We start from the raw sequence: 27,832 nt of genomic DNA on the forward strand, positions 1-27,832 counted from the left end.
TCTCAGTTGGTTCAACTTATATAATTCTGACTGAAAAATTAATGTTGAACAAACTCTACACTCAATAAGTGTAAAAATCATTGCACCCAGATCAGGTGCAGACAAGAGTGGAGCTTTCTATGGAAATTTTAAACAGGTAAGATCAAGATCCTGAAGCATTTCTTCAAAGAATTGTACAAGGAGATGAAACATGGCTTTATTAGTACAATCTTGAAGACAAACTACAATCATACCAATGGCTACCAAGAGGTAGAAGTGGTCCAGTCAAAGCACAAGCAGACTGGTCCAGAGCAAAGGTCGTGGCAACCGTGTTTTGGGATGCTCAGGGCATTTTGCTTGTTGACTTTCTGGAGGGCAAACAACAACATCTGCTTATTATGAGGGTATTTTGAGAAAGTCAGCCAAAGCTTTAGCAGAAAGACACACAGGAAAGCTTCCTCAGAGGCCTTCTCCACAATAATGCTCCTGCTCATTCCTCTCATTAAAGACAATTTTATGAGATTTTTCATGGGAAATCATTAGGCATCTACCTTACAGTCCTGACTTGGATCCTTCTGACTTTTTTTGTTTTCTAATCTTAAAAGAAACCTTTAAAGGCAACCAATTTTTCTTCAGTTAATAATGTAAAAAAGACTGCATTGACCTGGTTAAATTCCCAAGACCCTCAGTTCTTTAGGGATGGACTAAATGGCTGGTATCATTGCTTTAAAAAGTCTCTTGAATTTGATAGAGCTTATTCTGAGAAATAAAGTTTATATTTTTATCTTTTAATCCCATTTTCCTATGAACTTTTTAAAGCTCCCTCATATAATGATACACGCCTTCTAGTGACACACTGGACCAAAAGAGAAAACAAATCCTGCCGTATTCCTGCACACAGCAGATGCTCAATAAATGCTGGCTGAACTTAGGGCTCTACCCCTAAAGGAAGGATCATCACCATACCTGGGCTCTAGCATTAACAGGGTGTGGACAAGACATTCTGGTAACAAGGCACGGAAACCCACCCAAACACATTCAAGTAAAATGAGGACAAATGAAAGGATAAATACGAAACAGAAACAAAGTACAGAAAATAGAGCTGAGCCTCACAGGCCAACAAGAAGCTACACTCTCTCTCCTTCACCCTTTGGAAACACCTGGCTTCATTCTGTTTGTCCATGTTGGGCTTCATTACTTCTCCCTCTGCAGGTCCTGGTCCTTCGTTCCATTAGCACCTGGCCCACCCAGGTCACTCAATAATGGTGGCCTCTGCTTATTTCTGGAAGAAACTCTAATGTCTCACCTTGAGGGAAGGCAGGGAGCTAACATCGTATGGTCAGGATAACACCCTCATCTGGGGCAGCTGAAAAGGACTAGGATTATTACTATAAATGATAACCACAAGCTTGGCTGAGAGATGGGATACCCCCCAAAATTAGAATGCACACATAAATATCAGCTGTAACAACTTTATTTCAGAATGACTGCAGGAAGGAATTTCATAGGTAAACAACTAATTTATAGCTCTATATCACAATAACACTGAATCAGAAACACTTCATCCCACATAAAAATTTGGCCTGATCATTTTTTGAGTTTTAATCCTCTTAAGTTTCACATTATAGAACTGAATACACAAAAACACTAACACAGCTGGGGGAGACAATGGTTTATTGATCAAGAGAAATTATTTCTAGCAATATCTCACTTGCCGCGAGTTCACAAATATGACAACTGCAGATGAGGATAAAGAAGTAAGTTAGGGGAAGAGAGTTGAGCCACTGAAATAATGTCACCAAGTCAATGTAGCAAAGTACATTCATTTTTATTGCTAGAACAGCCTCTCAAAACCTCATTCAAATCCTCTCTACTCTTATTCAACATATAGTATGCAGTTACACAATTTCCCAACCCCAGGGCAAATTAGAGAAAGCTTCCTAGAGGTAGGCACAGTAATGGGAGAGATAAATGACAGATAAAAGTGAGGGAAAAGAAAAACTCTAAAAACCATGGTAGAACTCAAAGAGCAAATGTATCTGGAGCCTTCAGTGTAGGGACTTTAACAAAACTAAGTAGGGCCTGAAAGAATTAAAAACATATATGACGACTCTGAAAAGATTTAATTATCCCCAGTAGACTGTGTTTGCAAAAGCAGAGAAATGTATACTAAATTAAGAAATAGTTTGATGTAAATGATTGAAATAAAGTAAAAAAGATGTGCAAGTTAAAAGAATAACCTTGAGTTTTCTACACCATGCACCGCACAATGTCTGATAAACAAGTATCAGTACATATATACTGCTTATAAAATACACAAAGTAGTTCATAGAAAAAGAATACAGCACCTTTTTCATCCATATATGACTGAAACTATAAAAGCCCCTTCCTGGTAAAAGCACCTCAGTCATATAGGGATAGTTCAAGTCAGCTTCTCTCTGCATAAGAACTTTATACTGTGTCCTGAATGATCAACTGAAATTCCACGAATCAGAATCGCTGGGGAAAGGGACTGAGAACCTGCACGTTAGCACGTTGCCCCAAAGATTTCTGGTACATGTGAAGTCTGAGAATCACAGGGTAAATCATCGCCTTGAAGACAGGAGGAGACTGGCCAGGTCTGTGAATTAACCCTTTCCCACTCTTGTTTCTAGTGTGCCCAATAAGCCTGTACTCCTGGTTTTGACATTTCTTAAGCTACACAGTACAGAATAAAAAACATGGACTTCTAAATGTTTTATCACAAAACATATAATTTAAAAAAATTAACAAGCCCTAATTAATTCCAAAAAGAGGACAGACACAGTGGCTCAAGCCTGTAATCCCAGCACTTTGGGAGGCAGAGGCAGAGGCAGGAGGATCATTTGAGGCCAGAAGTTCAAGACCAGCCTGATAAACATAGTGAGACCCTATCTCAAAAAAAAGTAAATGAAAAAAAAAAAAAAAAAGACCATAAAATTTCTAAGCCATATATGTGAAGCTGGAAGCAATAGCTGCCTGCAGGGGGAAAATTACTGAGTGAGGAAAAGTAATCCCTGAGGATTATTTAGGAATGAGGAGGAAGATACATCTAAAAGTAGTCTTAGAGGAGAGGCAGAATAAAACTTACATCCAGAGTACAAAAATGCAAATCCATTAAAGCTTGGCCAGGATGTTTAGGCCTGTCCTTAACACTCTGGAAGCAGAGGCTAAAAACTACTGGCTGGCAAACATGTTTTTTGTTTTGGCCAGCACAATGTTTTAAACAATTCTGAATTGGTTGCCAATAAAAAACTAGGAGATTTTTTTTTTAATTCTGTCTTTTCTTAGAAAATTGGAAATAGGAAATACTAAAAAAGACCAACGACACAACCGCACTGTGCTGGAACCGGGCACACAAGGCAGAAATTCAACCTCTCTGTGCCTTGGTCTATTTCTAATAAAAAAATTCCTGCTACAAAGATCCTTTCCAACCACAGAGATATTAAGAAAAAAATTAAATATTGTCTGCAAATACCTAAAAGTCACTGTAGTGTTCTTAGCTGCCCACTGGAACTACCAAAGGAGTTTTTTTTAAAGCTGATGCCTTGGTTCCACTACCTGAGATTCTGATTTTTGGTCTGAGAAGCAACCCAGGCATCAGAATTGCAGAAAGCTCCCCAAGCAATCCTAACAGACAGCCAAGGTTGAGAACTCCTGCCTTCAGAGGATGGGAGTTTTTGAGTGTGAAGGGTTAAACTTACTCTAATGTCAACCTCCAAATACAAATTTCTTGCCTCTCACTTCCACAATAATTTGCATCACCTTTTATTTTTTGAAATAGGCTATTACTCCAAAAGCCTACCAAATGCCATCTACAAATTGGAAAAAAAAGGTCAAAGTGTGTTTTAGTTTCTACCATTATTTTTCCCTCCAACACAATTGAAGAATGAAACACTATGAAGCTGAAAAGAAATTAAGAGACAAAATTCAGGCAGCACAAAGAGCTCAGATACAATAAGAACAGGCTCACAGTGGCAGGCTTGTATGAAAAAATACAATTGCTTTGAAATTCATCAATGGATTAAGTGGAAAAATTTTCAGACATTTTAAAAAAAAATTTCCCCAAGACTCTCCAGTAACGGCCTGAATTTTTTTTTTTTTTTTTTTTTTTTGTGATGGAGTCTTGCTCTGTCACCCAGGCTGGGGTGCAGTGGCACAATCTCAGCTTACTGCAACCTTCACCTCCTGAGTTCAAGCAATTCTCCTGCCTCAGACTCCCAAGTAGCTAGGATTACAGGCATGCGCCACCACGCCCAGCTAATTTTTTTGTATTTTTAGTAGAGACGGGGTTTCACCATATTGGCCAGGCTGGTCTCGAACTCCTGACCTTGTGATCCACCCGCCTCGGCCTCCCAAAGTACTGGGATTACAGGCATAAGCCACCACACCCTGCCCTGATTTTTATCTTAAGAAGATGAATTTCAAATTATTACCTCTCTTCAAGATTTTTTAGGTAGTATGTATTTATATTTTGGCTTCTGATCACGAGAAATGCAAACTACTGCCATCTAAGTTTCAAACAGTAGTACCACTTTACGTTACAGTTAAAAAGTACCTTTGCAAAATGTTTTACATAATAATGGCTTCCATTTCCTGGACTTCTACTATGTACTAGGCAGTGTGCTAGGTACTTCATAGGCATGATCTCAAATCAGTCCAACAATCTCACAAAATTAATTCTATCATCTTGTTTCACAAATTTTTTTAAATGAGATTCAGAAAGATTTAAAATTGTGTTCATGATCACTGAGCAAGTAGGTGCCAGCACTTGGATTCAAACCCAGGTCTGTCTGTTGACTTAAAACCCTGCACAAAATTACCTTCTTTAATCATCATAACGCATTGGCGGAAAGACCTGTGCCTGATTATCCCCATTTGCCCAATAAAAAACAGAGAGGTTAATGATTTGCTTGCTCACCATCACAGAACGAATTAGCAGAAAAGAAACTGCCTTCCCACTCTTCATTTCATTTTTTTTTTTCCAGAGGACCAAATCACAGTTTACATATTACATTCTAAAAGCTATACTTATGGCAGTTACATATTACTTATGGATAGGATAAAAATCTCCTGATTTCTGAGAATCTTAAACATTGTTATAAATACGGCTTAGCTTCAACATAGGTCTGGTACATTCCTGTTTGTTCCAGTCCACCCGTGAATCAGGTACCAGTTCAACTCCCTTATTGGTTCCAGAATCCCCTCACGAATCCTAGGAACAACGGTGCTGATAACATAAGGGCACAAGCACCCTCTCCAGGCCTTTATCCTGTCCTTAGCTGCCCTGACACCATCATCAGACAACCAGCAGAACACCCTGAGGAAGGGCACACATATCTTACATGGTTCTTTTTTCCTTTATTTGTAAAATTATAAAGAGATTGTGTCATAAAAATCCAGCAAGAAGGTCTTATCTCCCTGAGTCCCACTATTCGAAGCAGGCTCCCAGAGGAGGGTATCATTTTATGTCCTGGCAAGAAGGTCTTCTCTTCTTGAAGCTGCCAACACTGTATCCTCAAACCTGTATTCCAGAAACTGTGTCTGTGATGTGCTGTGGCCAAGAAGTGATTCTCAAAAAAAAAATAAATAAATAAATAAGTAGACATGGATACAGCTCTCCTGCAAGAGAAAGCAAACAGGCTTTATCACCTCATAAACATGTCTCACCAATCAATACTTATTTGCCCTCTTTTCTGAAGCAACTCTTCAGAGTCCACTTGAATTCTATCACTACGGATAATTCTTGAAATTGCATTTCTCCCTCCTAATGATCTTCGAACAAGGCAAGCACCTCATTTTATTAAGTCCAACTACCCAAAGGAGCTGGTTCAGAGAAGAGTTAAGATATAGCTAAAATTGAGGTCTTAATCATTCCAGTGTGATAGAACTCTGCTATGTTGTCAAATCTCACCAAGCCTGATCTCCCAACTGCCAGTGGCAAGAACAGACAGCTGTCAGGGTTATTTGTTTTATTCAAAAATGACAGGAAATCAAAAATCTATCAAAGGGATGTGTCAACAGCAATGCCACAAGCATATTGGTTAGTGAGATTTATGTGTCTCCATTTTGGCTCATGACAAAAATCACCTTCTAAGCTTTCTCATTTTCAAATGCCCACTTGGACATACAGGTCAGAGAGTTCTGTGAAGTATCTTTAATGTTAGGTACAGTGTAGAACGTAGTCACTTTCTATGTGAATTTAAATTATGCAAATTTAAAATGTGGTATGATATAAAAATATTAAATACTGTCTCCTTATGCAGATTTCTGCAAATCCCACAAAACGTCTTTTAAGTATTAAAAATTGCAAAATTCCAAAGCTGAAAAAATTGAGTAAATTATAAATAGCACCTACCCTCTAGCCTCATCACAGTGCCACTTTATGTGCCAAACTAAATGCCTATATGTCTACTCCATTGTGTACGCGCATTGGAACTTTATGAGCAATTTTAGTGACCACTGTTGCTGGTATTTTAACTTCCTGTTATTATCATTTTAATACCTTTTTATGTCTTAATATAAAATCAGCCAAGTCTTCACAAAGTGTTGACGTTAGAGCTAATGCAAGAAAAACAAACTGTCAAACTATAAACTTTAGGGGTAAGACGTGATCAAACACTATATTTTGAAAGGCCAAACAATCACCACAACACTCCTTGATGTTAATTTAGGACACTCAATCAGTAGGCAAAAATTTTCTTCAAGGACCAGACAGTAAATATTATAGGCTTTGTAGCTATAAGGTCACTGTTATAACTATTCAACTCTGCAGTTGTAGCTTTGAACATAGTTAGAAGCATAGTTGTGTTCCAATAAAACTTTGTGTATAAAAGCAGGCAGCCGGCTAAATTTGGTTTACAGGCTGTAGTTTCCTGACCTCTACTTTATTATAGCTATAGAGCTAATTTCCCCCACTTCTTTTAATGTAGCATTTTACAACACATGAAAACAGTAGTACCCCCACCTACAACCACCCCCTCCATTTTCCATACAGTTAATTCTGAGAAATTAAAAAGTTCCATTAACATAGGCATATTTCAAACTTGACAAACTTTGTAAAAACAGTCAAGAAAATGGGAGAAAAGGAAAGGAATAAGCTGGCAGCATTCGATGCAACATCAAATTGTAGATTTATGTGGTAAGAGTACATACATACATATACATATATCCCCTACTTTACAGTTACTCCTCTGAGAAAACTGGTCATGAATTTTGAGAGTTGGAATTATATAAATCTTTCAGGAAATTTCATTGCATTGAATGCATTAAATGCAACTGTCCTGTACTAAACTCCTGGTTATATTCAGACCTCGACCATTTCACTTAAGAGAGGAGAGTAAGTTGCTTTTCACAAACAATACGATGCCCTGAGTTCATGGCTTAGCCCTCAACCACAGGACAAAAACACAAACAAACAAACATAAAAAACACACCAGCCTGGGCAACATAGGGAGACTTCACCTCTATAAAAAAGGAAAAAATTAGCCAGGTGTGGTGGTGCACGCCTATGGTCCCAGCTACTAAGGGGGCTGAGGTGTGAGGATTGCTTGAACCCCAGAGGTCAAGGCTATGGTGAGCCGTGATTGCGCTACTGCACCCCAGCCTGGGCAACAGAACAGTGAGACCATGTCTCAAAATAAAACAAAACAAAACACAGAACATGGGTAACAAGACAATAGGTAATGCTGTAAACTTGTTTAATTTACTCATATTCACTACCAACAATTTAAATCCAAACTGATTTAAAGTACGAGTTGATGTGAATCTCACCTCCCCTCTTTTCAACTGCATTTGCTCCAGGGTAGAGCCTGGCCACATTTAAGCAACAAAAAAGGGGGCAAACAAGAAGCTGAGATGCTAAAATCAGGGAAAAGCCATACAAAGAATATCATTCTTCCTATTAATCAAAAGTTGACCGAATACATGACAACAATATCTAACTCCTAGCTATTAGCTTTCTCAGTGACCTGGCATTTCATCTGTCTCCACCCAAAGAAGTGAACTCATTTAAAACTGCCATTCTCAAAGTGTGGCCCCAGGACCAGGATCACCATCACCTGGAAATCTGTTAGAAACACAAATGCTCAGGCCCCATCTCAGACCTACTGAATCAGAACTTGGGGAGTGGGGCCCACCAATCTGTGTTAACAAATCCTCCAGATGACTCTGATGCTCAAGAAAGTTTCAAAAACACTAATTTGAAGTTTGAAGACCAATAGGTGTATACCTTTCCCATGGAAATGGAGACCCCTCATTCCCTCATTTACCTTGGAGCTGACTCGAGATCCCACCCTCCAGAGTAAGATGGGATCTGTGCCTAAGCATGCAAGTACAAGAGGTGCTTAGTGAGCCTCACAAATATGCTAGCCGAGAAAACCAGGGAGATGTGGCCAAGTTGTTCTCTATAATTTTTTAAGGAACAGGGTGGGTGTAGGAGTAAACCATATTTAGATTCAATTCCAACATTTATGAGCACCTGCTATGTGTATGCCTATGCTAAATGAAATTATCTTATTTAGCTTTTCCAGTAATAAAGGAGTCTATTAATATGTATTAAGTATACAGAGGTTTCATATTAATCAAAATGGAGTCCAACCTGCAAATAAGCAGAAAGACTTTACAATTCTCCGAATGATGTTCATTCACAGGTCTGGACAGCATGCTTTACACGCCAAGGTGCTTGTATATGATGTTCCTTTTGCTTCTTTTTGGTTAACTGCTCTCACTCTTTACTGTTTATCACAATTAGAATACCAGGTTGCTTACACAAGACTATGTGTCTCAACTTTTAAACCAACACAAGAAAACCTGAGGTAATTCTACATTACCCAAGGCAAAGTTTGTTTTATTCAAAGGTTTCAACTCTCAGATGTTAAAAACCTAAGGCCTGACCAGGCACAGTGGCTCACGCCTGTAATCCTAGCACTTTGGGAGGCTGAGGCAGGTGGATCACGAAGTCAGGAGTTCAAGACCAGCCTGGCCAGCATGGTGAAACCCCATCTCTACTAAAAATACAAAAATTAGCCGGGCATGATGGTGCACACCTGTAGTTCCTGCCTCTCGGGAGACTGAAGCAGGAGAATGGCTTGAACCCGGGAGATGGAGGTTGCAGAGAGGTGGAGGCTGCAGTGAGCCGAGATCACACCACTGCACTCCAGCCTGGGCAATAGAGCAAGACTCCATCTCAAACAAACAAAAACAAAAAAACCTAAGGCCTATAAATTCTGTAAGATGTAAACCTATCATACTCATTTATTTTGGGCTTTGATTCTTTCTTAAATAACTCTGCCCTGCCCTTTCCACTACAAAGACCATTCTCCCTGATCCAGACAATAGAAATTTAGGAGGTGGGGGTAGGGAGTTGAGTAGTTCTGCAATCCCCCACTATCTGTTAACCCTATACCATTTGCCCTAAACTAGATGTGGCACGTGCTTCAGCATGAGTGCTGTCCTCCTTCCATCCTGTGCCCATGGCAGACACTGTTAACCACCAAGGCACTCTTACCCAGAGCCTGGGAATTACTCTCAAGACTTCAGAATCCCTTTCAATAGCATTTCAGGCAGTTACCCACCATCAGTGGAAATACATATGACTAATAAGAGATATTTGTTTCACTGGCCAATCAACATGCCCCTTCCTTGTTTCTCTTCCTGCTCCAATTACACTTTTAAAGGCTTCCTTTGATTATTTTCAGAACAAAAACATTAAGCCTCAGTTAATCTGAGCTGCAGTCTTTACAAATCTATAACACCTTGAGGCTCTCAATCATGGTAGATTGTGCAACAGTTTTAACAATTTGAATAGAGTTGTAACCCAGCATGTAATACAAAACTGCTCTGAAAATCAAAGAACCAAGTAAATAAAAGTACTGAAGAGATAAAACACCTGTGAAATAGTATTCTGTGCATATAACTGGGAAATGTGCAGCGTGAATAGCCCAGGGAGGCTGCTGTAGAATACCAGGCTGATAAGCATGAAAATATGGCTTGTGTAAATAATTCTGACTTTGCTTTTGGTACTCACTGATGATTCTTTATTCAGCTAAGGGGGCACCACACTGTTCCTTTAGCAGCATCTCCATGATTCTAATTCCCTATAGAAAGAAGGAAAAAAAATTAAAATGCCCTATTTCACAGACAAGTACTTTTACATTTATCACAACCTTTTCCCTTCAAAGAATCCAGGTCATGGCCATATATTCATTTCAACAAAGTAGGCTCATAGCCATACCTGACATTTTTTTAATATTTTACTCAGCAATTTCACATACATTATCTCCGCATGTGCTCAGAACTACTCAGGGACATGGGCAGAACGGAGCTTATGATCGCCATTTTAAACATAAGAAAACAACCCAAGAGTAGTTAAATAACTTCTTGAAAGTGGCCCTGCCAGAGCTAGAATGATAATGGCAGTAGTTAATATTCATTGAACATTTACAAATATGCTAGATTCACTGCTGGGGTTTTATGTGCATTACCTGGGGGTAGCGAGTGCTATGGTGTATCACTGAGACCCCTCCCAGAACTAAAGCACTCCTTCCCTTTCCACCAAGACTGTAGGCTGCTGCTGGCACACAGCCACCCTCTGCCAAAGGGAGCTGCCTTACCTGAAGTCATGTCCCTCCAGGGGCAGCATACATCATTGGATGACTGGTATGTACAGCGGTATAAAGACCTGGCCCCCTTCCCTTAATTTGGGACAACTCTGAGGAGCATCCAACCCTCAAAGCTCCCCAAGGGATCAGCTAAGACCTTTGTTACAAGTGCATTGCAGTTCAAAAATCCCTTCCCGTACCCCATGACAAGAGTTGTTCCTGAGTGCGCACTACAATACCGCCTGCAGGCAAATCTCAAACTAAGTCTGTGCCCCAAGAGCTGACCTAGGACACCTTAATACACATAAAACCTCCAAATAAGTACTATCCTTACCCACATTTTACTGACGAGGAAACAGAAACTCAAAGAGGTTTAAATAATTTCCCCGAAGTTACACAACTATTAAATAATAAAGCCAGGGAAACAGCACAGGCACCCTCTTCCTTTTCAAAGGCCTCCATGAACCTTCTTGCAATGTTCATTTTTCTACTGTCCATACCCACCTATCTACTCAGCATCCTGTCCAGAAAAATTCTACCTTGGAAGAAAGAAGAAAGCATGAATTCCTTTCCTCCTTAAAGGACAAGTTTTACAGACCAGAGGATAAACCTTCAAGTGGGAAGACAGGGTTATGATGCAATTATAAACTGAGGTCTCCAGGACATCAAAGTTGGATCCATGGGAAAGGGAGCTGCTATTTTCAGAGATCTGAGCCTGAGAATTCTTGCAGAGAAGAATAATGATAAGGGGAACTTAAAATACAGATCCCCAGGCCCCTCCCAGGAAAATTCTGATTTAATGGGACTCAAGCAGGCACCAGAGCTCTATGCCCTTAAGAGGCACCCATATGATCCTCTTATGATTAGGCAGGGCTGTGAACACCACGTGGGCCTGCAGGAAAAAGGCAGGGACTTCCTACTTGGGATCTAAGCCCAGGGATGGGGACGGAGGGTAATCAAAGGCATCGCTAGAGAAGACAATAAAATATATTTAACACCAAAGTAGACTAAACTAAAGTTAGTATTTCCTTGAGGATTCAGAAGGTCCTTCAGATTCTGCCTGGCCATCACCACAAATACTACCGTTATCTTGGAAGGAAGAAGTATTACTGGATCTTGAGAGAATGCTGAGTAGTAAGGAGTGTTTGCTAAACCAAAGCAGCAAACCACAGGACCAGGAGCACCACTGTCAGAGGTAGGAGACCTGAGTTCTAGTCACAGCTCCACCAATCATTCTGCTAGGCACCTTAGGCTGATCACTTTTACTAAGGAGTAACATAGACCACAGAGGTCAGGGCACTGAGAGCTAGATGGGATTAGTGCTTTCTATACCCAGTTGCACTCTAGCATTACTAAGGGGAGTCACAAAAGAAAACAGACTCCCAAGAGTCTACCCAAGAGTGTATTTGACTCAGTCAGAAATTTCAAGTCTCAGGCCTGAGTCTGTATGTGTGTAACATACTTCATGTTGATAAGGACAGGTGGCAGGAAAATACTGGGTAGAAAAGGGCAGTCCCTGGTGAGGGCCACACCCTCAAGCCTGGACCTGTGGCCCAAAGTCAGAATATACATTCCCGTTTTCCCATATGAATGTTGCCTTTTCCAAAACCACCCTGGCCCACCCCACCCCCCACCCTGTACCCATAAAAACCCCAGGCCCCACTGGTGGAGTGGCAGAGCAGCAGAGGAGAGAGGAGAAGAAGCAGCTGGACATTGGAGAGAAGCAGCTTGACTTCAGAGGGATGGCTTGATGGCAGGACCTCAGAGAGGAATTCAGCCAAGGACAGCCAAACTCCAGGGGACAATCACCTTTCTACTCCATCCCCTTTCCAGCTCCCCATCCCGCTGAGAGCCACTTCCACTGCTCAGTAAAATCCTCCACATTCACCACCCTTCAATTCGTTCACGCCACCTGATTCTTCCTGGATGCAGGACAAGGAGCCGGGTGCAAGTGCAAGAGGCTGTCACACTGACCCTCCACTGAGCTGCTTAACACTTAAGCCATCTATGAATGACAAAGCTAAAAGAGCACACTATAACACGCACTCCCTGGGGTTCTGAGGGTCAAAGGCAACCTCTAGATGCTTCCATAGGCCCGCACAGAGTTCTGCTCCTACTGGTTGTCCAAAAGCACTCATCCTGGCATCTGCATCTGCTCACCTGTGTGCTCCCCCTTTTGCAAGGGGTTGAGAGCTGCGTGCTGAGTAAATGAGGCAACCCCTTCATAAGTCATGGAAAGGGGTCAGAGAACTATCCCATTTCAATGTGATTCTGAAACACAACCAGTTCATTTACTAGAATTTGTAAATAGCAGCTTTACACCATCTCTTCCAACTCTGACAGTCTTGGAATTGATGAAACAGGTTATCCTTAATCATTTCTGAAGATATAGTATATACTACACTCTTAAGAGGTACCTTCCATTTAAAGAATTAGGGGAGGCCAGGCACAGTGGCTCATGCCTGTAATCCCAGTACTTTGGGAGGCCGAGGCAGGTGGATCACGAGGTCAAGAGATGGAGACCATCCTGGCCAACATGGTGAAACCCCGTCTCTACTAAAAATACAAAAGTTAGCTGGGCGTGGTGGTGGGTGCCTGTAGTCCCAGCTACTCAGGAGGCTAAGACAGGAGAATTGCTTGAACCAGGGAGGCAAAGGTTGCAGTGAGCCAAGAGCACGCCACTGCATTCCAGCCTGGTGACAGAGCGAGACTCTGTCTCAAAAAAAAAAAAAAAAAAAAAAGAATTAGGGGAAAGGGGATTGGGGACAAGGGACGAAACAACCAGTGAAATGAAATTTAACTAAATTCTTAACAGAAAACCTGCATTGTGCCCCTTTTCGTTCTTATTCCCTTAACAACAGACCCAGTTAACAAATATGTACTATGCACCTACTACGTGCACTGGGGATTAAATGGTGAATGAACAAGATAGTTCCTGCCCCCATGGAGTTTACAGTCTAGTAGATTCCAGAAAATTTTCATTCCCTCACTTCACTTTTTTATTCTAACAAATCTCTGGACAATAATTAAATGTCTTCTTTCTATTTTCAGGAAGAATAAAAACTATCACATTAATTCTCTTTCAAGCTTCTATTTACAGAGTAGAGCATAAATCCAGACGGTATGACTTTAAAATAAGAAAAGCACACTCCTTCCCTAGGAGGTGAGGACCTGCAAACTTTCCCATCCATCTAAATTAAGACCTCCACCACTTATTGAACTGAACACTAATTGACATAAGTGAAGACTGAGGTTTTCCTTGGGAATTGAAAGACGTTATTTATTGAATCAATTAAGTTCACAGGGTGACAGTTGATTTTTCTTTCCCTTTTTCCCCCCCTCTCATACCACTTCAGTCTAAGCAGAACAGTTAGAAATGGAACATGGAGAATGGCGGCAGGGAGAGAGAGGCCTATAAAATAAACAAAAAAGAAAAAAAAACACCTAACAGGGAAGCTAAGCCATGATTTAGTACCTCTCTTCGGTAAAGAAGGACCAAATCAAAGCCCAGTCAATAGAGTCCTTTCAAATAAAGTTCCAACGCTTAAATCTCAACCCCCAGGAGATCAGGCTTAAAGGGGCTAAATTTACACCACTTATCACACAATGATGCCTGAAATGCAGAACAAACATTAAGTGGATCTACCTTTATAGATAAGGCTTAAAAGCTTTTTGGACTGACAAACCATAAACCAGCTTGATTTTATTATTTCTTTCCCCTCTGAGATTTTTTTTTCTCTATTACAAGACTATCTTTCTCTATTTGCCAATGTACAGATAAGTGAGCTATCTCGCAGGTTCATTTCCCTAATACCAGAGCTGTGCTGACCAAATGTATCCCCACAAAGGAGTCTCAGAGTCAGATTCTAAACACTTCACAAATTCTCCACTCTAAGAGTCTCAGAAATAGCTGATTATTACTAAAAACACAAACTTGTCTTAAGAGGAGCAGGAATAAGTTGAAACTAAAGGTGGCTAAATTCAAACAGTATATTTACTTTGCTATAAAACTAATCCTTCCTTGAGAAGCTCTGATTTATGTAGGAGGCTTGGAAGAGAGTAATATTAGACCAAACAAAAATTTTCTAAAGCAGTTCTCAAAAGGTGCATCCACAGGGAGCTCTTAACAAAACAGAATTGCTCATTCAATTATCAGTGATAAAAGATTGGTGTTAAAGACCCCCACTGGAAATAACGCTTTCTTGTGGGTCATGGCTTTGGAGTAAACACCATGAACTGATGCACCCACTGTGTGTAAGGAAGGGCAGGGAAGCTACGTGGAACAGGGATGCAGATAAGACAAGAAGCCTGCACTCAATGGACCATTGGCCTCTTCAGAGGAAATAGAGGAATTAAAAATAACTGAAAGGCAACACAGCCTCTGAAAAACACTATGACTTTTAAAAGAAAAAAGTACAGTAATGTGCTGCTTGATGACATTTCAGTCAATGACAGATGATATATATGATGGTGGTCCCACAGGACTGTATAGGAGCTGAAAAAATCCTATCACCTGGTGACGTTGTAGCTGTCATAGCCCAATACATTCCTCATGTGTTTGTGGTGACATTGGTGTGAACAAAACTACTGCACTGCCAGTTGTATAAAAGTATAGCACATATAATTATAACATCATAATACTTGATAACGATGGTAAATGACTACACTACTGGTTTATATATTTATTATGTTGTACTTTTTATCATTTTAGAATGTACTTCTACTTATGAAAAAAATTAACTATAGGGCCAGGCATGGTGGCACTTTGGGAGAGGCTGAGGTGGGAGGATTGCTTAAGGCCAGGAGTTCGAGACCAGCTTTGGCAACATAGTAAGACCCCTTCTCTATTAAAAAAAAAAAATTTAATTAGCCAGTTGCAGTGACATGAGCCTGTAGTCTTACCTACTTAGGATCACTTGAGTTCAGGAGTTTGAGGCTGCAGTGAACTATGATTATGCCACTGCACTACAGCCTGGGCAACAAAGTGAGAGACCCTGTCTCTGAAAAAAAGGTTAACTGTAAAACAGCCTCAGGCAGGTCCTTCAGGAGGTATACCAGAAGAAGGCATTGTTATCACAGCAGATGACAGCTCCATGTTACTGCCCCTGAAGACTTTCCAATGGGACAAGATGTGAAGGTGAAAGACAATGAGATTGATGATCCTGATTCTGTGTAGGCCTAGGCTAATGTGTGAATGTATATGCCTTTGCTTTTAACAAAAAAGTTCAAAAAGTAAAAATTAAAATTAAAAATTTCAAAAATAGAAAAAAGTTTCTAGAATAAGGATATAAAGCAAAATACTTTTGCATACCTGTGCAATGTGTTTGCGTTTTAAGCTAACGGTTATAACAAAATAGTCAAAAAGTTAAAATTCACAATTTTATAGAGTAAAAAATGTTAAAGCAACCTAAGGTTATTTTGTTATTGAATAAACAAAAGTATTTGTTTATAAATGTAGTGTAGCCTAAGTGCAAAGGGTTTATAAATCTGTAGTAATGCACAGTAATGTCCAGTAAAGTCCCATGCCTTCCTACTCACCACTTACTGACTCGCCCACCCAGAGCAACTTCCAGTCCCGCAAGTTTCATTCACAGTAAGTGTCCTATACAGGTATACCCTTTTTTTAATCTTTTATACCATATGTTTACTCTACTGTTTCCTATATTTAGCTATGTTTGGATACACAAATAGTTATCATTGTGTTACAATTGCCTACAGTATTCAGTACAGTACATGAGTACAGATTTATAGCCTAGGAACAACTGGCTGTACCATATAGCCTGGGTATGTTGTAGGCTCTACCATCTAGGTTTGTGGACGTGCACTCTATGAGGTTTGTACAATGACAAAATCGTCTAATAATATATTTCTCAGAATGTATCCCTTTTGCTAAGTGACTGTATAATGGAAGAAAGGAAGTAGAAATTAATGTTGCAGGAAGGAAGGACTTGCAGAAGCCACTTGAAGAAGAGGGATTTGAGTAAGACCCAAAGTCCAGTCGTAAGTGTGACACACAGAGATAAAGGGAAAGACCAAGGAGAAGGAGGCTTAAGAAAATGGATGGAAGTGGCTGGGCACAGTGGCTCACGCCTGTAATCCCAGCACTTTGGGGAGGCTGAGGCAGGTGGATCACCTGAGGTCAGGAGTTCAAGACCAGCCTAACCAACATGGAGAAACGCCATCTCTACTAAAACTACAAAATTAGCTGGGTGTGGTGACGCATGCCTGTAATCCCTGCTACTTGGGAGGCTGAGGCAGGAGAATTGCTTGAACGTGGGAGGCGAAGATTGCGGTGAGCCGAGATCGCACCACTGCACTCCAGCCTGGGCAATAAGAGCAAGACTCCATCTCAAAAAAAAAGCAAGAAAGAAAATGGATGGGAGTGGGAACTGCATGGGAGGAAGGAAGAGATGAAGGGAGGAAAGGGCGAAGGGATCTACATCCAGTTTTCTCATCAAAAGGTAAGAGAATACTGCATGACACTTCTCCATGAAGAGATCTTCTACCACAATAAAGCAACTTTTATGCAACTTTTAATCTGATGCTGTCTAATCCTTTTAGATGCAGAACTTTATCTAGAAAGTGGAATAACACCTAATAATAATCTAAAATAAACAGTTAAAATTCATTGGCACATACAGTGTGCCAAGCACTTTGCCTGCAATCACTTATTTTACCCTCCCATCTCCCCTTTTTTTTTTTGGATGAGACCAAGGCTCAGAGAAATTAAACAACCTGTTCAAAATCACACAGTAACTAAACCTCAATTTGACAGGAGGCAATCAGGCTCAAGAATCCAGGACCCTGAATCTTACTACACTGTGGGGATGGGAAGTTTAAATGAGAATGCAAAAGTGAAAACCCCCGACACACTGTTGGAACTAGTCTGTGTTGTGCTGCTGTAACAGAATACTATAGGCTGAGTGATTTGTAAACAAAAAAAAAGTTTATTTGGTTTACAGTGCTGGAGGCTGGGAAGTCTAAGATTGAGGGAGTGCATCTGGTGAGGGCCTTCTTGCTGTGTTATAACATGGCAGAAGGCACCACTTGGCAAGAGGGTATGTACAAGAAACCAAGAGATTGAACTCACAGTTTCAAGCCCTTTTATAATTGGCATGAATCCATTCAAAGGGGTGGAGCCCTCACTATCTGAACACTTCTCATTAGGTCACTTCCAACACTGTTGCACCAAGGATTAAGTTTCCAACATGTGCCTTGGGGGGACACATTCAAACCATAGCAGGTACATAGCAAGAGCTTTTCTTCCTTTCTTTATTGGCTGTATTCAAAGAGCCTAATAAATAAGTCAGGTATTTTAGTCCTGCTCCCAAACAAAATAACATGAATCTTAATATATGAATCAATATCTAATCCCATCTACAAACTGTTTTAAAGACAATGTTTTTTCAATTAGAAATAGCCTGATAGAATGTATGGCTTCAATATAATTTTCCCATAGTAGCTAATAAACTTTTGAGTAAGATTCATTTTTATTTTTATAAGTAACCCAAAATCTTTAGGTGTAACTGCAGAACATTAAACTGATACAATAATTCAGATGTCTTTGCTTCACATTATAAAGCTTTCTCTCTCCTTAAAGAGAATATTTAATTTTCACAATTTATAATGGAAAAGAATATATCCTCAAATAATAAAGTCTAAAAACTGGAAAGGACCTTATATTTTCTAGTCCGGATAGGAAACTCTAAGCAAAGAATCAAAAATGGTCCATCTGATTTAAAGAGATTTCCTGCAATCAAATAACAGAATGAAAGATCAATTAATAAATCATGTTGCTGATTTTCAAATAAACCCTAACCTAACATGAAGATTTAAGTCGCTGGTGTTTTTCTATTTTACAAAGTTACTTCCGCCACCTTCCAATGTGACTCAATTAATCTATTTTCATTTTGAATTTTAAAAAATTTGACCTGCATATAATTTTATTTTTCCTCACTTGCACTTCATGCAAAATATGGCCTCTCCCCCAGTGCCATGTCCATCCATGACATTTATAACATTTGATCATCTGTTGCCTGCTGGAAACCTCCATTCATGGGAAGCATACTGTTCCTTAGTCCATCTGTGCTTAATTACGAGACAGTGCTTCCTCACATTGAAGAGTAAGGAACTGTTTTAGTGGCTGGCACCAGACCATCCCAGTACCAACTCCTGTACTCTCAACTGTGCCCAAGTGAAAAGCAACAAGGTTCCTATTATTTCCCCTTTATCAGCCATTTTTTCACTATTCATCAGACTTAAGCTCAGTCATAATTTTCCCTTTTTTCTTCCCTATTCTGAGATAAAGTGGTTAGCAGCATGCTTGTACATTTTATCAACAAATTGTCTTTAACAGAATAAATGAATCCAATTGATGCTCAAATAATAAATAAATCTAACAGCTGCCCAGATAATTCTGCTTTTATCTTGTATCTCTACCCTTCTCCTTCCCCACAGGTTCATGCAATTCTATAAGTCAATGATCTTCTTTACATAAAAGGTCAGTCTACTGTGTCTTCAAGTCAGGTGTTTCCTTTCAACAAAATAGAATTTTTCAAAGCCATATTTCAGTCAAAAACCAATCTCACCAAACCTCAATATTGAATCTAATGATAATTTATTATGGGGTTACTGTATGCTGACACTTTACTTACATTATCTCATTTAACCCTCTCAATAGTCCCGTGAGGTAAGACAGTTCTGCTCTCACCATTTCCAGGTAAGAAAACTCAGCCTCGGAGAGGTAAATGACTTGTTCAAAGTCATGTAGCTAGCAAGTGGCAGACCTAGGATTTAAATCTGGATTTCTCCACCTCATTCCACAACGAGTGCTTACTTACCTCACTGAATGTGTTTCTGTGCCTGAAAATGTGTAGAGGGAAGAGAATAAGTACACTTCACTGCAGGATCACTCCTGAAGATTAAATGAGGCAACATATAAAGCTACTGGCACACAACAGACTTTTGTTAACCATTACCTCCCATTCTTCCCATGTCCTAAAAAGTAGCTACTGATTTATATATGGACTCTATCTGACTAGGGGCCCCTCATAATGGGACTCCCGCAGTGAGGCACCTCCCCACATTCAGCTAGAGGCTGATGACCTATAGGAAATACCAGCAGGGGCTCACCTCATGCTTGCTCACATTTTCCTCACCCTTCACATCACCTCTAAGAGTCACTAACACTTCTGTTTCACACTATTAGGCCCAGCAGGGTAAACCAGGTTTCCTCAGGTCATAGTAGTCATCAAAGACAGAACTAGGATCCAGTTCCAGGGAAAGAACTAATTAGCAAGCAAGCTAAGGCCTCTATCTACTAGTCTGTGCTGAGCACATTACATGCCTTCACCCTCTCACATCCTACCTATAAGTCAATTACATAAGAAAAATGAAGTTCAGCTCGGTTAAAAAAGGTGACCAAAGACACTCAATTAATAAATGGCAAAATCAGGCCAGGCACAATGGCTGACACCTATAAACCCAGCACTTTGGGAGGCTGAGGTGGGTGGATCACTTGAAGTCAGGAGTTTGAGACCAGCCTGGCCAACATGGTGAAACCCCATCTCCACAAAAAATACAAAACGTAGCCAGGCATGGTGATGTACGCCTGTGGCCCCAGCTAGTCAGGAGGCTGAGGTTGGAGAATCACTTGAACCTGGGAGGTGGAGGTTGCAGTGAGCCGAAATCAAGCCACTGCACTCCAGCCTGAGGAACAGAATGAGACTCCATCTCAAAAAAAAAAAGAAACAGTAGCATAATCCAGCTTCACACCCTGATTTTTGTGACTCTGAGCCTTCCGTATACTATCTCCTCGAAAAGATGTGTTTATAGGGTTTTCTCAAATTACCAAAAAATGACATGTCAGCTTCGGCACATTCCTTCCTACAATCAAAAAATAATTTCCATCTACATCTGCGTGGTTTTAATTTTATTAATTTAGAAGAGGCAGGGAACATGTAGTTCTTGAAATTGCCATAAGAAAAAAAGCACCTCCCCATGTATGCAAATGAATTTTGTTTTGAGCTGACACTAAGTGAAGCTCCCTTGTGCACTCTGGAGAAGCCAGAAGAGAAACATTCCACAGGGAAGCATTTCTGCTTTAACACAATATCTGCCTATCAGAATTCCATTGTGTAATGCCAACATGGAGGGCCCTTCACTTCCCACTAAAAGCCTTTCAGTACTGAACAAAGTCATCATTTCTTGGGGACAAAACCCACAGTGGGTGAATGAAGTACAAGGTTAGCCAGAGTGCTGTCATTAACAAAAGCAACATAAATATGATAGCTTGACTTCACTCCTCATCCTTTGCACTACCTGTGGAGTGAAGGAACAGTAAGTCCATGGCAAGTTTAGGAAGTGACGTTTGTGTTTTAATTCCACACACTTAACATTACAAATTAAAAAGAGTAATCAGAAAAAAAAAGCTACATACAGGAAAGCTACTAAATGATTAAAAAATAAAATCTCTATATGCAGATAATAGCCTAAAAATAAACCATGGGCTGTTTTTAAGTCAACTATTTGCAAAGAAAAAAAATGCCTGCAGTGTTTATAGTTACCTCTTATCTGTAGTTTTGTTTTCCACAGTTTCAGTTACCCACAGTCAACTGTGGTCCAAAAATATTAAGTGGAAAATTCCAGAAATAAAAAATTCATAAGTTTTTAGTGCATGACATTCTGAGACGTGTGATGAAATCTTCTGTCCTGGCACATGAATCATCTCTTTGTCCAGGATATCCACACTGTAGACACTGCTGGCCTATTAGTCACTCTGTAGCCCTCTGAGCTCTCAGATCAACCGTTGCAGTATCACTGTGCCTGTGTTCAAGTAACTCTTATTTTACTTCATAAGGGCACCAAAGTGCAAAAGTAGTGATGCTGACAATTCAGATATGTTGAAGAGAAGCCACAATGTGTTTCCTGTAAGTGAAAAGGTGAAAGTTCTCAAATGAAGAAAGAAAGAAAAAAAAATCATATGCTGAGGTTGCTAAGATCTATGGTAAGAACAAGTCTTCTATCCATGAAACTGTGAAGAAGGAAAAAGAAATTTGTACATAGTGTATGTAGAGTTCCATACTATCCACCGTTTCAGGCACCCACTGGGGGTCTTGGAACATATCCACCAAAGATAAGGGGGACTACTGTATATACAAATGCTCTTTCAAGCTCCTAAACCCTGTAATAAACTGGTAAGGGGAAGGAGACACTGAAGAAATAGATGTAATAATGTTGATACTTCTTAAAAGTTGTTCTACTATTTCAGTTGCTAACTAAGTGGGGAGTGTTCTTGGTTAATCCCTAGGATATTCGTTGTATGATTTGGTTGAGATATCCCTGCATGTATTATTATCTCCCACATGGATGATGTTCCAAATCTACCATCTGTCTTTAATGTTAAACAGTTTAATAAAATTATTCCTTTCAATAAAAAAATTAAGGCTTGTATTTTTAAAAAATTCACAAATCCTTCACTTGGTGAACTGCAAGGGTGGGATTGTTTTAAAAGACCAAGTGCTGTAAGCAATTCTGGCTCTTGTTTGGAGACTGATGCAAAATTCCCAAGACTGAGGGACAGCTCTGATTCACGTCTTATATGGAATTTGGCCAACAAATTCAGGTTCTCTAGAAAATAGTTTGTTACAGTGGCTGAAGTAAAGAAGTGAGCTGCTGGAAAAGTAAAATGAGGGGGAATTTCCTTTTTTGTTTTAGAGACGGGGTCTCACACTCTGTTGCCCAGGCTGGAGTGCAGCAGTTCAATTGTAGCTCACTGAGGCCTTGAACTCCTGGGCTCAGGCAATCCTCCCACCTTAGCCTCTTGAGTAGGTGGGATTACAGGCATGCATGAGCCACTGCACCTAGCATGAGAGGAAATTTTCAGTACCTTAAAGCCAGGCAGCCTAGTAATTATGTGCTCAGTCTGAGTCCCACTGTCTAGTTTAAATCTGGATTCTACCACTCACCACCTGTGCGATCTTGATCTTGGGCAAGTCAACTCACTTCTCTATGCCTCCTCAACTATAAAATGGTAATGATAATGATGGCAGCAGCTGCTCCAAATGGCCTGCCACTGCCATCACTGCTGGCTGCAACAGGGAGGCACGGCCAGGGCTGCACACTCCATGAAGCTGGCAGGAGCCCAGGGGCAGGTGGGAGCCCCGCCTGCCTGCGCGCAGCTACAGCCACCCAAACTGCAGCTGCAGACCCAGGCCTCCTGCTCCACGGAGCAGGTAGAAACCCTGCCCCCATGGGCACAGCTGCAACCGCCCAAAGCACACTGCAAACCAAGGCTTCCCTACACTCTTGGGGGCCAGGGGGTGGGAAGGGCCCCTGTGCACTCACAGGCTTGGAAGTGCCTGTCCCTGCTGCCTGGCTTCTCTCAGCTGTCAGGAACTGCTCCAAACTCAGAGCAACATCAGGGCCGAATCTGGACACCATGAATGGCAGCAGGAGGCAGACAGGTTCCTGGACGGAAGGGAGCAGGTCCTCGATGAAGCCCCATCTTCAGGCCAGGGAGGGCCTGAAGGCTGGGGGCGGGGCTGCCAGTCCCACCAGAGTGGGAATTTGTGTGCCTTTTCTTGGCCTGCCTATGGCCACCCAACTGGTGCACACTTTCTCCCCTCTGAGGCCCATAAAAGACCCAGGCTCAATCAGAGCTGAGCAGATGTTGGGACAACCAGCCACAGAGAAGAGCTACCCACTCCAGGGCCTCCTCTCTGCTGACAGCTCTAGAAATAGGATTATCAGCTGCAGAGGGGAGCAACCCACTCCAGAGCCTCCTCTCTGCTGAGAGATACAGGGACGACTGGACGACCTGCCTGCAGAGAGGAGCTTCTCACTCCAGGGTCTCCTCTCTGCTAGGGGCTGCACACTCTACGGGACACCCTGGATGTGGAAAGGGGCTACACACTGTGAGTTCCCTCTGAGCTGTTCTATCACTCAGTAAAGCTCCTTTTTGTCTTACTCATCCTCCATTTGTCCATGCATCTCAATCTTCCTGATCACAGAACAAGAACTCAGTACCCGCCAAGCTGAAACAGTTACAACACAAACAGTACCAACTGGGGAAGCTGCTTGTAGTGCGCCTGGCCCAGCCACAGCTTTGCAGAGAACTGGCACCCATGCCAGCACCTAGAGCTGCCTGTCCCACGGCAGCAGCTGGTGTGTCCAACTGCTTAGTGGCTGTACTCCACGCTTGCTCACACACCCCTCGCTGCTCCACGCCTGACTCACAGTCTCCCTTGGAGGCGTGGAAGCCAGGGCGGTAGTGTGAACTAAGCACAGCCTGCCAGGCCGACTGGGTGGAATGAGCCCAGCAGGCCCAAGTAAAACTCAGGCAAAGGTGTCACCAGCCACAGGTTTCCAGCCAGAAAAATGATACCCCAAAGATCCTGTAACAATAGTACTCACCATAGTGAATTGTATGGTGGATGCTAAGCAAATTGGATGAGGTAATACATGCAACATACTCAGGATGATTGATGTCTGGGGCATAGAAAGTACTCAAAAAATATGACCTGTTACTGTTACCTTTCTGATTACTCCTGTGTCATATAGAAAGCGCCTCTGTTTTTAAGAGTTTTGTTAAAAGATAATAGAATGAAAACATAAAGTCTAACCCTTTTGGAAAATAATATTATAATATGTTCATTTGTTCATTAATTCAATAAATATTTATTGAGCATTGATGATGTGCTAGGTACTAAGGATAAAGTGGTAAGCCTTAAACAGAAGCCTATCTTTCAGTGACAGAGATAAAAAACATATTCAAAGGATCATGAAAGTAGTCACATACAGTTAAGAGTGCTTCAGGGAATCTTTTCTAAGGCAATGGTACAAAAATATGAAAGGTTATATGTATAAAGTTGTTTCACATGGTGTCATTTATAATGGTAAAAGTGGAAATAACCTGAATGTTCAATACTAAAGGGCAATATAAATTATTATATAACTATTTAATGAAATATTATATAATCATTAAAATGATGAATTTGAAGTTTATGTAGTTACTGTGAAAGGGATTATAAAATATTACTTGAAAAAAGCAAGAAATGAAATTGTACTAACACTGTTTCATTATGACTGTGTTTAAAATTTGCGTATGAGACTAGAAGGAAATACGCCAATTTGGGTAATAATGAAAAGAAAACAGTTATCATTTATGAAGTATTTATTGTGTGCCAAGGTATTTTAAGTACTTCCTTATACTATCTCCTTCACTCTCATACTCATAAGATATATAGTATTATTCATATTTCACCCAGAGAGAGGTTAAGTTCATCCATACTCTATGAGGGAGGGCACTCTGATTTAAATCCACATTGGGTTGATTCCAAAGACAGGCTCATCATAACCACTAAACAATTATTTATAATGTCATAATGGGAAAAATAAGTTATTGTTTTTAACTATCTTGCATTTTACTTTTTAAGTAATGTTAATAACAACAACTAGCTTGAGCCCAGGAGTTCGAGACCAGCCTGGGCAACATGGTGAGACCTCGTCTCTTAAAATAACAACAGGGGCCGGGCATGGTGGCTCTCGCCCATAATCCCAGCACTTTGGGAGGCCGAGGCAGGTGGATCACCTGAGGTCAGGAGTTCAAGACCAGACTGGCCAACATGGCAAAACCCCATCTCTACTAAAAATATAAAAATTAGCCAGGTGTGGTGGCAGGTGCCTGTAATCTCAGCCACTCAGGAGGCTGAGGCAGGAGAATCACTTGAACCCAGGAGGTGGAGGTTGCAGTGAGCCAAGATCCAGCTGGGCAACAAAGTGAGACTCCGCCTCAAAACGACAACAATAACAACTGATCATTTGTTGTTGCCACATCCTATCCTAAGAGCTTCATGTACATAGCTCATTTACTCCTCACAATACTCTACAAAGTAGGTTCCAATATTGTCCTCCTTTTATAGATGAGGAACATGAGACACAGAAAATTAAATAGCTCAGCCAAGGTCATACAGCTGGTCAGGGCAGAGTATTCTGCTGGCTTCAAAGGGAGCTGAGGAAAAAGAACATAAATGGCTCTACTGGAAATATAATTTAAAATATTTACATGCAGGTAGTACCTATTTAAAACATTGTTAAATAAGTTTTTTTAATTTTGTTTAAAGATTTTAAAAGTCTTTTTAGGAGGAGTATGATAAGTTTTTAAATTTTGAACTATTTCAAATGTATCAGGAAGTTCAGAGAATAATAGAAAAACCAATAGGTATTAACAAATGTTAATGTCTAAAAATAACAAAAGCTACACTCTACTAAAAGCCCCTGATTGAGGAAATTTTAATTATAGCCTTTAAATTCTACTTAAATTGGGACTCAATAAGAAAGGAGTTACTTAACTCTCAAAAAGCCACCATTTTCCTTTGGAAATTCAGAGATGGTGAGCTGGAATCTAAGGAAAGAAGCTAGCCAAGGAAAAAGGAGTCAAATCTCAGACAGCAAATGGAATTCAAAAAAACTGAAAGTGACAAAGAAATGTCACTCCAACAAATCCCGCTTCACTAGACACAATGCTTCCTTTTCTCCTAACAACAGGCAGACACTGCAGCCTCCTCCCCACCGCCTTCCTGGGTCACTGCCTGCTGCCCATTAGGGGTGGCTACAACCAAAGGGGTCTTTCAGGAAGGATGAAATTCTATCTTAGAGTGGGGAGCCAGGATGAGAAATCACAATAGACAAAGGGAGGAAGAATGCTCCAGGGGAACAGCTGGACACCTCAGACAGCTCAAGGAGCACTGAAGTAGCATGCTGCAGGGCTGAAGGACACAGCTGTTGCTAAACTAGTAGATGCATCCTTAAATGAAATTACATTTACAATTCAAGTAGCTCTACCCAGAATTCTGTATTAGTCCCTCAGCTGATATGTCTGAATGACATTTTCCTGGTCTTTTTGGTCAAACTAAAAGACTTAATTCAACACAAAGAGCCTAGGAAAATCCAAGCCCAATCCTGTAAGTAATGATGCCTTTTTTTGATTTACAACAGATGTGTTCCTAAAGGCACTTAGTCCACACAATGTGCAGATGCAGCCCCTATATTTATATTTTTATATATGTATGTGTGTGTATATAGATATATAGTATATCTATATACACACTATATATATACTATATATATACACACTATATATATACTATATATACACACTATATATATACACTTATATATATACACTATATATACTATATATATATACACACACACTATATATATATACTATATATATACTATATCTATATATATACACTATATATATATATATACTATATCTATATACACACATACAAATACACAATTTGTTTTTGGTATTTCAATGCAGCCTGGCCAGAGCTGTAGCAGCTTTCAATTCTATGCCTGCCATAGGTTTATACGAGGTACATGAAGATTTATAGTGGCCACAAATTCCTATTTTCTCATTGTCTTTGTCTTTGAATTTAGCACAAAAGAGTGAGAGAAGAGGTTCAGAAAACTAATAGATTGGTTGGAATTTCCATCCAGCACAGCGGAGAGAACACAGCTCCCAAATCTCTTTGGAGAGATTAGAGGAACTAGTGGGTGTGAGAGTAGAGGAACACTAAGAAAGCAAGTCTCATATTAAGTGTTTTGAAGATGAGGACATTTTTCCCTATAGTCTAACAAGTATCTACTTCAAAGTCATATGTACACCCAGTGCTGATAGAGACAAGCCATGCATTTGTCTTGTCTCCTTCATCTGAACTCTCTGGGACTCTGACCTCCCTTGTCAGGGAATCAAAGTGAATGGCGGTTGAGAGGATGGGCTCTGAGGTCAGACCACCTGGATTCAAATTCCAGCTCTGCCACTTACTGGCTGATGACTTTGTGCAAGGAATTGGACCTTTGTGTGCTTCTATTTCCTCATCTGTAAAACAGAAAGGTGGGAGTAACCACAGTCTCTGTTCCAGAAGGTAACTGGGAAAACTAAATGTTCATACAACAGTGTAGCACTTGGCTCATGGTAAACACTCAATAAATTACAGCTACTATTATATTATATCTGGTCTTCCCCAAAGTTTCCAAAGGCTGTGTTTATAGAAGGCATAGATTAAAAATAAGCCAACATATTTATGTTAATAGAATTATAAAATGAAATTTTAACAACCCTACCACATGCTTACCATGGCTTCTGCTAATTAGCATTTTATAAAATTATGTTTCTTATTTTTAAATATTTTATTGCCATCTCAACCCTTGACTACAAACTT

General features: G+C 40.4%; 1 protein-coding gene across 17 annotated transcripts in view; it reads right to left on the reverse strand.

Annotated features, from left to right (window-relative positions):
- The window catches only part of PRELID2 (PRELI domain containing 2), a 606,358-nt gene that overhangs the window by 525,922 nt on the left and 52,604 nt on the right, over window positions 1-27,832 (reverse strand). For 6 of the 17 annotated variants that reach the window (XR_007058586.1, XM_047416830.1, XM_047416832.1 and 3 more), the window contains one exon: window positions 10,025-10,094. The exons of 2 other annotated variants lie outside the window; for them this stretch is intronic. Coding sequence is in view for 14 of the 15 variants with exons in the window: in XM_047416830.1 (XP_047272786.1) it covers window positions 10,035-10,094 (60 nt within the window). In the remaining variant the exon portion in view is untranslated. Of the gene's footprint in view, window positions 1-1,437; window positions 5,620-10,024; window positions 10,095-20,952; window positions 21,525-27,832 lie in introns of those variants that run through there. 9 more of the 17 variants (XM_017009135.2, NM_205846.3, XM_017009132.2 and 6 more) reach the window with 3 other exon arrangements.

The sequence above is a fragment of the Homo sapiens genome, chromosome 5, assembly GCF_000001405.40.
Source record: "Homo sapiens chromosome 5, GRCh38.p14 Primary Assembly".
Classification (NCBI taxonomy): domain Eukaryota; kingdom Metazoa; phylum Chordata; class Mammalia; order Primates; family Hominidae; genus Homo; species Homo sapiens.